General features: G+C 51.9%; 2 protein-coding genes across 5 annotated transcripts in view; both read right to left on the bottom strand.

The window, feature by feature from the left end:
- The window catches only part of RANBP2 (RAN binding protein 2), a 1122820-nt gene that overhangs the window by 350585 nt on the left and 759414 nt on the right, over positions 1-12821 (bottom strand). The gene's annotated exons all lie outside the window — the stretch shown is intronic.
- SH3RF3 (SH3 domain containing ring finger 3) overlaps positions 1-12821 on the bottom strand; it is a 375430-nt gene that overhangs the window by 12918 nt on the left and 349691 nt on the right. For 3 of the 4 annotated variants that reach the window (NM_001099289.3, XM_047444144.1, XM_011511110.3), the window contains one exon: positions 781-1112. In NM_001099289.3, coding sequence (NP_001092759.1) covers positions 781-1112 — 332 coding nt within the window. Of the gene's footprint in view, positions 1-780; positions 1113-6067; positions 11915-12821 lie in introns of those variants that run through there. The other variant, XM_011511109.3, reaches the window with a different exon arrangement.

Here is a 12821-nt window from a genome sequence, read left to right as displayed (position 1 = left end):
ACAGCCATCGTATCTCTCTGTGATGCCTCCAGCTTTTACCTGAGAGCCCTTTTAGGATGGATAACTCACACAGGGGGATCCAAGCCAGGTACGCCTCTAGCCCCAGGTGAAACCCAAGCACCTGCAGCCCCACAGCCCACAGCCTTAGTGGGCCATGTTGCCTCAACCAGACTCAGTTTCCAGATCGGTAAAAACCTAGGCTGAACTATGTGAAGTTGCTAGTAAGCATCGAAATGAATGAATATGGGCAATTTCAAAGGGTTCAGTCTGACGGACTATATACCCTTGAAGCCATGATAATTCAAGGGATATAGACTTGAAGCCGTCTTGAGTAACATCACAATTCTAAGACGCCGAGTGGGTTGAGGCTTGCGAGGGAAGAGCTGCTCCCTGAGTGGGACACATAGGCCCACTGGGGACTCAGCCCAGGGGCCTGCTCCAGGATCCCCCAGGGTTGAGGGGGCACAGACCACTCACTGCCTAGTCTCCCACTATTTGCACTCAGAAACACTTGGTCCTGACACATTTCCTGATGGCTCCTTTGCAATCCCAAACTCAGGAATCAGATGGATGCAGAACATGAAATAACACTCCAGTTCCCAGACTCGTTTCATCCAGCACTCACCACCCAAGCTCGGGACCATGTGGATCTGGGTGTTGAGGTACATCTGGTAAACCTAATCCCAGCAAGGCCACAGTGTCCCTGCTCCCCGAAGGTGGCTCCAGACCTCAGAGGCCAAACCACAGCATGCCACAGAGCAGACAAGCCCCTGCACTTACCTCTCTCTGGGCAACAGCTTGGGCTCGGGGCGGATGGCAGCCATGGACAGCGGAGCTTGCCGGGAAGGAGATGTGAAGTTTAGATCCAAGGAGCCTGCCTTCCTGTGCAGAGGCTCCATCCCCATGGCACCCTGCATCTCGCTCTCTATGGGGCAGGACCCTGCCCTGCCGTGGATGGACAGTGAGGACACTTCGGGGCCCACTGCACCTTGGAGCAGGGCGTCCACGGCCACCTGGGGGTCGTGGGTTGGAGACACAGATGGCGGGGAGCGTGACTTCTTCTTGGTGGATGCTCCGGCTAGAAGCTTCAGGAGCCCACTCTTCTTCTCTTTCTGGGGAGACACACAAGATGGAAACCAAACAGGTGAATGCTTCCCAATGCCCTTGCTGTCAGAGAGAGGGGAATGCATCTTCCTATGTGGAACTTTATTTTTAAATTTCTTATTTTTTCAGACAAAAGACTTTACCACTCACAGCAACAGCAGTAGCCAGAGTACCAGCATTTTCTTGCACCAGTTCCCTGAACCCCAGTTCCCACGGGTGAACCAGTGAGGGCCAGGTGACGCTTGCAGGCACACCAGGCTGTGTTAAAGCAGAGGACCTGGAGCTTCGGGACACCAAATCCTCTCTACTGGACTGTGAGGATGCTGGCCCTCTGCTCCGGAGTCAAGCAGTAAGCATGCCTGCTCTTTGCTTTGAAGACTGACATTATTTCTATTTTCCAAGGCTGGTGCCTACATGGACATCTTGAAAAGATAGGCCAGCAGATGGCATCTCAGTTGTAAGATGGGTAGAAGGGTGAGAGACCCATGGAGAATGGTTCCATCAGGAAACTTTAAAGATAACCTTGTAAAGTGGCTCAGAGGAGGAAAACAAAGCTAAGACCAAGAGCTCATCCAGGCTGGGCACGGTGGCTCATGCCTGTAATCTCAGCAATTTGGGAGGCCAAGGTGGGCAGATCACTTGAGGTCAGGAGTTCGAGACCAGCCTGGCCAACATGGTGAAACCCTGTCTCTACTAAAAATACAAAAATTAGCTGAGTGTGGTGGCACTTGCCTGTAATCCCAGATACTCAGGAGCCTGAGGTGGGAGAATAGCTTGAACCCAGGAGGTGGAGGTTGCAGTGAGCTGAGATTGCGCCACTGCACTCCAGCCTGGGTGACAGAGCGAGACTCCGTCCCCCCCGCCCACCCCCCGCCAAAAAAAACCTTGTCCGACACTTGTTTTCCTTTCTCTTCCAAAATCTAGCAGAAATGTCCAAAATAGGCCCCGAGGCCCCCAGGGCAGGCCAGTGATGCCATTCTCAGAGAAGGATGCTGCTGACGGGCCATCCCCGACAACACAGCCCTCTCTGTCACGGGACCCTGGCCAAGCCTGGCAACGTCATTGTCTGTGTAGAGGAACCAGCAGTCAATGTCATCTGCTTTCTCCTCCCCCAGCTCTTCTAAGTGGACTTTGTAGGACAGGTGACACGGTTCCTGATGGGACTTTCCGTGAGGCCCAAGCCACGCTGGGGTCTGGTTGTCTAAGAGCACAACTGCTCCGGCCCCAGCCAAGTCCCCCCAGGCCACATGCCTGGATTGTTGTTGCAGCTGTACCAGGGTCTGGGGGCCTGTGGCTGTGGGATACTGCTTAGTGCCCGGTGAAGGGTCTCCACCCGATAAGGTGTCTAAAGGGACCATCCCCATCACCCTTGGTGACCAGCATTTGTTCCACTGTATTCATTAATCCCACTGCATTCAGAGCCTGTGCCCCAGGCACTGCTGCTTATGCAATAGAGAGGGAAAGAGATATAATGAAGGTGTGCCCTGGGCAAGTGTGGATCCCAGCCTCCAACTCCACTGCCTGAGTCTCGGCCTTCGCTCCCCACTTTTCTCAATGTGTTTCCTCCAAGGCTGGACTCATCCTGGAGGTCAGCTGTTCCTGCTTTCAGGCTCTGTACTGACAGTCCATGGGGAGTTCTGGGTGATTTCAGGAGGAAGAGGCGGCCCAGCTCTGAGCCATGCAGCACGGGGATCCAGATACCTGACTCCGCTACTGGGCTTGCAGCCTCCCGGCCTATCTCCCCTCTGCCTCACTCTCCCTCCAATAACTTCCTGAAGGTCTTGTGCACCGTGCCAGGCCCTGGAGGTTGTGAGCAATAGGAAACAGCCTAGAGCAATCAGTTAGACATGGATTTCGTTGCAGCCCTTCATGTGCTGGCAGCTCAAAGTGTGGTGTTTCCCGAGTCTAGTTCTCAGAGAACTCTTGTTGGCGGCACAACTTGAGGGAGAGTGTTCCCAGGAACACACATCGGGAACTGCTTGGGTAGAAACTAGAAAGGAAAAGAAGAAACCGTGAGGGGTCGGGGGCAGAACCCTGGGATCTGAGTGGGGTGCCTGGGGGCAGGGAGTGAGGAGGCTTGTTCAGGCCACGATGTAGGCAGGGCATAAGGCCTGGGGATGGGAGACCCTGCAGCTGGGCCCGTCAGCCCCTCCGCAGGCCAGGAAGGAAAGAACTGCAGTACCTGGGGTGGGAACTGGCTCCCCAGGAGGCCTGAACCCACAGCAAGAGTTCTTGATGAGAGGGTGACCTTGCCTCCAGGGGACAGGTGGCAATGTCTGAAGACATCTGGGCTGTCACAACTCAGGGGTGCTGCTGGCATCTGGTGGGCAGATCCCAGGGATGTTGGTAAACATACTCCAATGCAAGGGAACCCCCCATGGCAGGGTTATCTGGCCTCAAATGTCATCAGTGCTAAGGCTGGGATCCCTAGGTCACAAGGACAGCAGGCCAGGATGCGGGGACAGAAGCCAGGCCTGCCCCAGGTGTCCCGGCGGAGCCCACTCTGCAGGCTCTGGGGCTGCTGGCCGCTCCTCCCCTCCTGGCAGGCAGGAGACCTGGGTGGCCTTGCGTTGTCCAAAGGAAAAGGAATTAGCCTTTCTCTGCCCACTTCTGTTTCCTCTTCACCATGAAGGGGCCTGGTGGCTGTTCATCCCCGTCTAGGCTCCCCTCTAGAATCAAAGCTTTGGAAGTACAGGGGTCGTGTTTGTTTTGTTCACTGCAGTATCCCCACCAGCGCCTAGCACGGTGCTGAGAACACAACAGGCATTCAACACTTGTTTGCTGAATGAACTGAGTCCAGCTGAGGGCTCTTGGGCCCGTCGGGGAGAGCCCTTCTGGCCCCTGAGTAGAGAGGGACTCGGTGGGCAGATTCTTGCTCCCAGGGCACCTTGGGCCCTGTGGGCCTGGACGTGGGGTATGGTGGAGCTGGAGACGCTGAGGCCCTGCTGCCTCACTGCCCAGCTGCTGAGAGTATATGCAGTCAGGCCCAACCTTAGCTGTCTGCTTTGGAAAGGGTGGGGTGCGTAAATGTGATGGATAATTTTCCTGTCTCAATTCTCCAGGATTAAATAAACTAAACACTTAATTAACTTGGAAAAACGCTGATGTCATGGCTAGAAAACCCTCTCCAAAACGTCCGCCTTCCAGGACAGAATTCTGCTAATGCCTTAAGCATCAGTTATTACCAATCGCTGTGGAATTCCCAGTACTAACAATCGTCATGCTCACGGAATCCATGGAATATGGAGGTAGACGGTCTAGGCACTTCCCTGGTGGTCGTCCCGTGTGAGGCAGGAAAGAATAGCCAATGGACAGTTGGCATGTACTCGGGGAGAGGCTCATAGACTGATTTGGGGGACAACACCGTGGGAGGAGAAGAGGTTTTAGAGGACACAATTTAGGGCTGATCTGGGCTGAAAGATTATGTTAAGGAAAGATGGATTTGCTGGGTTTCTCCTGGGACTGGGAGTAAGCAAGCAATGTTCAGGAGCCCAGTGGGATGTGGATTTGGCATCCCTGTTACGTTTTCCTGACTGCCTTCTTCTGCAAACGTTCCCCCTAGCACTCTGCTGTTTCCATCTGTGGCCTGCACTCCTCTCTGTTGGGGGGATCACTTTCCATTCCAATGACCCTTCTGGATGGCCAGGCTCCAATCAGTTCAGCCTCACAGGGAGAAAACCAAACAGCCGGATCTGTTAGGAACAAAACGTCTCGTTTGCTCTGAAACATCCTGGCCTGGGCGGGAGACAGATCTGCCGAGAAAGGTGCACTGGTCCTTCCTCCATGGAAGTGATGGGCTGCTGTCGCCCTGCTGGGATGTCTCTCTTCTGGAAGGCCCTCCCCACCACCCAGTGCCCTCAGCCTGCCCAGCTTCCCCCTCCCCTTCCTCTAACACATCCTGCGCCAACCACACTGCTGGGTGCAAACTCTGCAGGTGTGGTGAAGGCCCGGCTCTGCATCCCCACCACCTGCGTTTTGTTTCTGCACCTTTGGAAGGGTACCATCTGCCTCGCTGAGCTGCTGAGATGACAGCTATAGGAGCGCTTTTAAAGGACTAATGCATCTCATCAATATCTGGTGATTATGTTGCTGTTTTTATAATGTGTTTACTCATCTCTGAATATTAAATAGTTTACGAAATACCTAGGACCTAGTTAGTTCCCAATATATTTTTGTCAAATAAATAAAATGAGATTCCTATCCAAGACCTCCACCTGCCTTGCCTTGGGAGAGCACCCGAACCACTGAGGGTCTCTCAGCTCTCCAACTCTGTATACAAAGAAACAATCAGGGAGTTCCACAAAATGTAAAATGTGGGCCCCACCCCCAAAGATTTTGCTTCTGTGGGTCTGAAATGAGGACCAAAAAATGATTCTGATACAGAACATAGGAAGTGATCAATCAGAAGCCAATGGTCGTCATGCAACTCGGTAAGTGATTTCCAGACGACAAAGAGTAATGTCAAGACACAGAGAAGGGGTCAGCTCCTTGGGAAGGTGAAGAAAGGTTATTGAGGGTTACTAACACCTACTCAGTGCCCCCAGCCAGGGACACACATGGGTTGAAAGCAGGGCCCTACAGTGCTGGACTTCTGGCTGGAGCGCACACACTGATTCTGTGGACCTGAGCTGTCTGGCTGGCTCCAGGTGAGCCCCCACCTTCCCAGACAGAAGGTGAGAAGCCAGGTGCTGGTAGGTGTGTAGGAGATCAAGGGCCAGGGAGGGCCAGGGACTGGAGGCTTGCGATGAGGCTGTGCTGCAGCCCTGGCTCTCAAGATCTAGGTGTGAAAGCATCCCTGTGCCCAGGCACGGAACACTGACATGTTACAGAAGGGAGAGCTTATGAGTTATATCCAGAAAAAGCCATGTGTGTTTGTGTGCTTACACACTCACAGTCACACACACAGCCTGAAGCCTGAAATCAAGTGGTACTCCACTTTAAAGAATCATCTAGAAATCTGATATTTAAAAAGGAGAATTTTGAAGGCGTTTATTCATACTACACTCTATACAGGAAAACTATAAAACATTATACAAATGGTAAAGTAATAGATTTTTTTGTTATGATTAAGATGGGGGCTCCTCTAGGGGCCTTAACTGTTTAGTAGAACATTAGTATAAAAACTTGGCAAAAGCAATTGAAAGCTTAAATTAAGATTCAGTGCCAGTTAAAGGTCAATTAAAAGTTATGGAAAATTGTCTCTGAAATTTTAAGGAGCCAAAGGGAATACAATTTGATTTGCAAAAAGCAACATTAAACAGAGATACAAGTCATTTCATGAAAATGAAGTAAACCTGTACATGTGACCCGTAAGTGCACATTTATTCAGTTACCTTCTTGATTAAGCCATGTGGAGACAGGTGGCTGTCCCACCACTTCTTTCAAACAGATTTCCCGTCTTAATTCTCTTTGCCTCAGGCAATATTTAAGATCAGTTTGCATTGGTTGGGCACACACCAAACGCTGGGTCAGGTACCATGGGAAGCAGATAGAAAGGGACTCAATTTGCAAAGTTAGCCATGATAACCCATGAGAACCTCAATCTGCAGAACCCTGCACATGCTGCGCTGCACACGCTGATGGGTTACGTACTATTTTCAGCACCAGAAGGGGAGGTAAAAACTCACCAGCTTTGGGAATAAAGGATTGAACACAATCGTACACTTTAACTCCACCAGGTACACACAAAGATGTTTTTGTGACCTGAGACTGGGGAGATAGTTGTCACTGGGTAGAGATGTTCAGACACAAGTGGATCCTCAGAGGCCTGGGAGCACCTGCAGACAGTCCCAGGAAAGCACAGAAATAAACAGGGCCTCGACTGTTGATACCAGGTCTCAGGGCAGGCAGGGTCAGAGGGAGACAGGGCAGTACTTCAGTTTTGTTATACCCTTTTCTGTTATTTGATTTATTGCATCACTTGTGAGTTTCTTTTTAATTTAAGAGGGGAAAAATAAAAAGGAGAAAGTTGCAATGTTGTTTTGAAACAATGGTACTAGATATGATGGACCAGGGAAGCTTTGCTGTTGATTAGCTGATAGGGCAGGAGGTAACTCCACAGGAGGGGGCGGGCCTCAAGAGCTGGGCTGATATAGGGATAATGAAAAGGCCTGGGCTGGTGAGTGATGTGGCCAAGGGAGTGGTCAGAGGTGTGGAACAGGTAAATCTAGCAAAAAGCAGGTGCGGGCCAGAGTGTGGATGGGCCAAGGGTCGAGGTGCCTGGTGAGGTAAGAAAGGCAGTGGGATGACCAGGCAGGGTGGCTCATGCCTGTAATCCCAGCACTTTGGGAGGCCAAGGTGGACGGATCACCTCAGGTCAGGAGTTCGAGACCAGCCTGGCCAACATGGTGAAACCCCATCTCTACCAAAAATATGAGAATTAGCTGAGCGTGGTGGCAAGCGCCTGTAATCCCAGCTACTTGGGAGGCTGAGGCAGGAGAATCGCTTGAACCCAGAAGGCAGAGGTTGCAGTGACAAGATCACGCCACTGCACTCCAGCCTAGGAGACAAGAGCGAGACTCGGTCTCAAAAAAAAAAAAAAAAAAGAAAGGCCAGAGGATGGCACACCTTGGTGCCTCTAGGGCCAACTGAGGAGGCTGGGGTTGTCTGGTGGACGCTGGGAGCATCCAAGGAGCTGAGATAGAGGTGGAGGCACAGGGATGGCGGGGGTTGTGGGGGGCTTGAAGGCCATGCAGTCAGCAGGATGTGGCCCTGGCTGCAGAGGTGCTTCTGAGGAGCCAAGCCAGCTAAGCAGGGGATGGTGGGGCTGCTGATGGGGACAGTCACAGGAGGAGTTTACAGGGAAGGCAACCCCAGCGCCTGCAGCCTGGGGAGGGGACAGGCATGGAGACAGCAGGTCGAAGGACTGTGACCTCATGTGGCACAGCTGGGTGACAGCCACAAGAATGTGCTCTGTGCCTGCATGGCCAGGGACTCCTTTGTGTGTCCAGCCTTGACTTTATACCAAACTCTATGCCAATTCCCACCCTCTAGCAATCTGTTGAATAACAGTATTTTGGCCGACACAGCAGATAGGAAGTCAAAGGAAGCAACATGAGTTTTAAAAGACAGTCAAGTAGTTCTCATATGCCACCTCAACCCACAGGCAGTCAGGAAAACAGGCGGAAGGTGCCAAGGTCTTGCGGGGAGGCCTGGCTCAGAGAAGGGAGCACCTTTTCTTGCTGGGCACCGAGAGCATACGCTCCAGTGGGACATCTAGCAAGCAGTGAGTGAGGCTGGAACCTGGCCAGAGGCCTGGGACATGTGAGAGGCACCACTGGGGCTTGCAGGAAACTTTAGATATTCAGAAGAAAGAAACGGGGACTTATCTTTGTTGAGTCTGGCTCTCGGGTTGCAAGTTATACTTGGAAGTTTTTTGATTATTATTTTATGTTCGGAAATTTTCCTGTCGGAGATGGGGAAAAGGTAATTAAAAGCTGTGCTCTGTTAAAATTTTAGTGGGGAAAGGGCACCTCTCTGGTTATGCTGAGAACAGTTACTGGAAGAGCACAGGAGGGTTTATAACAATATAAATATGCAACGCATTTTTAGAGAGGGCAGAGGAATAGAAGATCTACAATGAATACAGAGGAAAAAGTGAACGAGATAATTAAAAGAAACAGAAAAATTGTGCACCAGCTATTGGGTATTTTAAACATTAACATGCATCTTCAAAAATGCTGCCCTTGCCAAAGACAGAAGATAAAGAAAATTGGTTCATGAAAATAGCAGGGAACGGGAGGCAGCAGCCAGTGAAGTGCTGAGCTATTGTGCTTCTCTAGCTTGTTTTTGGTGGAAGACGTGACCGCCGCATCGTGTTGCTCTCTTGCTGTTATCAGTGGTGAAGCAGTTGTTCCCTGCCCTTCCTCCTGCAGGAGAGGAAGCAGCCGGAGGTGCAGGCAGGGACAGGGAGCTGAGGGCATCCTTGTTCTTGGAAGCTGAGCCCTGGGCATCAGGATTATTACCATTTACAGCACTCAAAACGATGGTGAAGAGCAAAATGAACACTGCTCTCCCCCTCTTAGGGGTCATGGCCCCGGGCTGGGCGCGGGAGTGGGTTTGGATGACCGGCCAAGTTCACCACGGTGTCAGGGAGCTCCTGAAACAAAAGAGACTGACTCCCTGAGGAACTTCAAGAAGATAAACAGCCACAGCACGGTGTTCTGCGGGAAGTGCGTGATGCTGCGACAGCTTTGGCAACAGATGGAGCTGGGTGTCCCTGGTATTTATTAGTTGGCTGATCTTGAACAAGTTCCTGAACTGCTCTTAGCCCCACTTCCCTCATGTGTAAAACGGACTACATAATTATCTAAATATAATGATAATTATTACTATGCTGAGACCTATTTCTTGAGAGCTGACTATGAGCCGGGCACTGTCCTAAGTCTTGCCCATACATTCATTCACTGAATTCTCAAAGCAGCCCTGAAGAAAAAACAGGCTCTGAGATGCTGAACAAGAGACACAGGGTAATCAACTCAAAAGCTGCACAAGCCGCATTCGAACCCGGGACTTGCTGAGGCCAAATTTTAACTGTGGCTCTACTGCCTTATCGTGAAAATTAAGCAAGGCAATGCACATAACCCCAGTACGCCATTCAGTAACTGGAAGGCATCCCTAGAATGCACCGTTGAGGTCTGAGTCTGCTTCAGTCATTTTGTAGGGGAGCACAGAGGCATTCACATACAACGACCATTACCAAACTCCAGCAGTGATTCCGTGGTGATAAAACAGTGACTTGGCCAATTGCTCATCAACCTTGTGACCTGGGCAGGCACCTTGCCCCTCTGGGCTTCCTCAAGACAGGATTCTCATGGTAGCAGTTGTCTCGGTGCAGAGGGGAGGCCGAGGAGTGACATTTGCAGAGCACACAGCACAGCGTCTGCACTTAGTGTGCTCTCTGTAAGTGGCAACTGTTTTGGAGGTGCTGCGAGGCAGAGCCCTCCATCCACATGTCCAGCCCCTTGGCCGCTTTGGTTTCCTATTAGCACAGCCTGAGTGGAGGGATGAAGCGCACGTTTAGCTATTTGCTCAAGAGGGAAGATGCAATGGGACTGGACAGCCAGCTACGCATCTACAGCCTTCTGGAAACTTCCCGAGCAATAACAGGCCGAGGAGGTTCTCCAAGTCCTGAAATAGCCCAGCCTTGACCAGTCACCGAGAACATACCAGAAGCTCCAAACTGGAGGAAATACACCAGTCTCTGGCCTGTGGGCAGGAACGCTGCCAGAAGCATAGCCGCAATAAACTTGTTTTTCCGTATTTGCTCAAACTCAGTTTGCTGAGTGGAAGGCACAGGTGCACCCTCCAGCTGCCAGCAGACACAGCAACTGTGGTGACAGCATGGTGACTGGAGCTTGAGCACAGAGAGACCTGTGTGGGGGGACCCTCGCCACCCAACCTGACGTCTGCAGGGCCCCGGCCTCCCCCTCACCTCTCCATTGAGATGTTCCCCTCTCATGGATTTCTTGACACGTCTTAGGGTTTCTTCTCCTGCCTTTCTGAACAGCTGTCAGATTCTTTTTGGCAGCAGCAGGTGAGAAATGCCCTCAGGCTGCCTGTCCCTCTGTTTCCCTATCGGTGTCCTCTTGCCTGAAGCAATGACACAGCTTGGCTCTTCAGTTCTCCCTTCCATGGCTGAAGTATCTCAAACCCAACTCTCCAGTGAGCTCCAGGCCTTTTATCTGCCGCTTCTTCTAGACATTCTTTTAAGACAGAAACCACACAAATCAAACCATCCACAGATGCCCCAAGCTCCAAGCTAGAGAACAGCGAACCGCCCTCCATGAGGTCCCAGCTAGAGAGAGCCGGAGGTCATAATGTCCCAGGTCCCTGTGCCCAGGCAAGCAGCCAGGTGAGCCCAGGGGATCCAGGAGGAGAGGAGGGGAATGAGGCCAAGACAGAGGTTAGGAGCCTGTACCCAGTGTGCTCCACCCCTCCACATGCCAGTACAGCATTGTTCGTCTCCATCCTCCTCCTCCTCCTCCCACAGGGCAGCAGAGAGCACCCCATGGCTGCTCGGGATGACCTCTACCCTGCGAGACTTCCTGAGTGACAAGTGTTGGCTGCCCCCTGAGACACTAATTCAGCCAGTCTGATGTCACCTCCCTATGACCTTGGCACCCTCAGGACTAACAGGGGCTGGCATCTGGACTCCTCTCCTTATTACTCTCTTTTTCTCAGCCTCATGGCCATCTTAGCTGGCTTCACTACTCACCAGCCATGCACCCTTGAACAAATGCCTTATGTCTTCTGTTCAGTTCTCCCATCTGTAAACTGGGGATAGCGACAGCACCTGTCATAGAGGGTGGCTGTGGGGATCAAACATGGGGCTCAAGTGCTGGGCACCTGGGAGATGCCGCCTTGCCTGCTCTGGTCATCAACAAGGCTACAGTACAGATGTTTGGTGCCATGCAGATGTTGGGCACAACGCCTTCTTTTCTGAAAGCAGATGTCTTAATGTGGTTGATATGCAAGTGTTGCTTTCTCACTATGTTGGAAAAGAAAGTATCACCTCTCAGCTAAAGGAGAAGTGCCAGGATGGGGTCCTTTCCTCTAGACAATTGTCCTCAACCCACAGCAGGGTTGAAACCACTGCTTCCCTCAGGCTGTGATGACGCGTGGCCTCAGGGGACATGTCACCTGCATACCACTGGGCTGCAGAGGGGCTGTCAGCAAAACCGGGCTGGGCTGGAGCAAGAGCTCCAGGGAGATCCTCGTGCTGCAGGTGGGTTAGGTGCTGCCGTATGAAGGCTCTGAGGGCAGTGAGTCCCGGGGTCTTCATCAGTGGTCTGTGGATGGTTTTGGGGGTCTGCGAAACCCGTAGAATTGCAAAGTTAAGAGCAGTGTGGATAATTGGCTTTTAGCAGGTTCACAAGGGGGTTCATTCCCTCCTTTCTAACATTAAGAAAATGATCATTTAATTCATTTTTTAAAAATGAGGAGACAAAAGTGCAGGGCTCTGTCTGTGGGAGTAGAGCCCTGACCCCTTGCCTTGGGCTGCCAGTCCTGTACGGGCACACCTGGCCCTGCCCTGGCTGCTGCTTCCTCTGCCCATGAGGCCGGTGGAAGCTGGACATCCCGACACCCCAGGGAGAACAGATACGGTGGAACTTATTTTCGCACTTAATTAAAAAGTACCAAACCGGAGGCAGCTGTGCCAGACAAGAAATGTTCCTACTGAACTCAAGGAAAGAATGATAGGTCACAGAGCTAAAAGTGAACCTTAGATCATGTGGCAAATTGTATTTTCTAAATACAGCCACAACACTGTGTCTCTACTCACTAGCCCCCCTCTACAAAAAGCCTTTGGCACTCCCCTAACTAAGTCACAGGACCGTGTCCCCACCCTGTGTGCTGGGCAGACCTCTTGTGACATCCTCCACAAGCAGGGCTCAGGGGAGATGCCACTGCGTGACCCTGAGGCAAGGTCAAGGGCAGGCCGTGCACTCACTCTCGGAACCCAGTCGCCACATTGTGAGGAAGCTCATGCTGTCCACGTTGAGAAGTGTGTGCTGGTGCTCTGACCTGCAGCCCGGCCAAGGTTCCAGCCAGCAGTCAACACCACCCGCCAGACACATAAGCCAGCCCACCTCCAGGAGGCTGCAGCTCCCGCCAGCAAATCTCGAAACCTGCAGGTTCTCTCAGCTAAGGCCTAAACATGGTGGACAAGAGACAGCCTTCCTGTCATGCCCTGCCCCAATTCCCAACCCACAGCA

Source organism: Homo sapiens, chromosome 2 (assembly GCF_000001405.40).
Source record: "Homo sapiens chromosome 2, GRCh38.p14 Primary Assembly".
In the NCBI taxonomy this organism is placed as follows: domain Eukaryota; kingdom Metazoa; phylum Chordata; class Mammalia; order Primates; family Hominidae; genus Homo; species Homo sapiens.
Note: the sequence above shows the minus strand (reverse complement) of the source record. Positions and strands in the feature narration are given on the sequence as shown.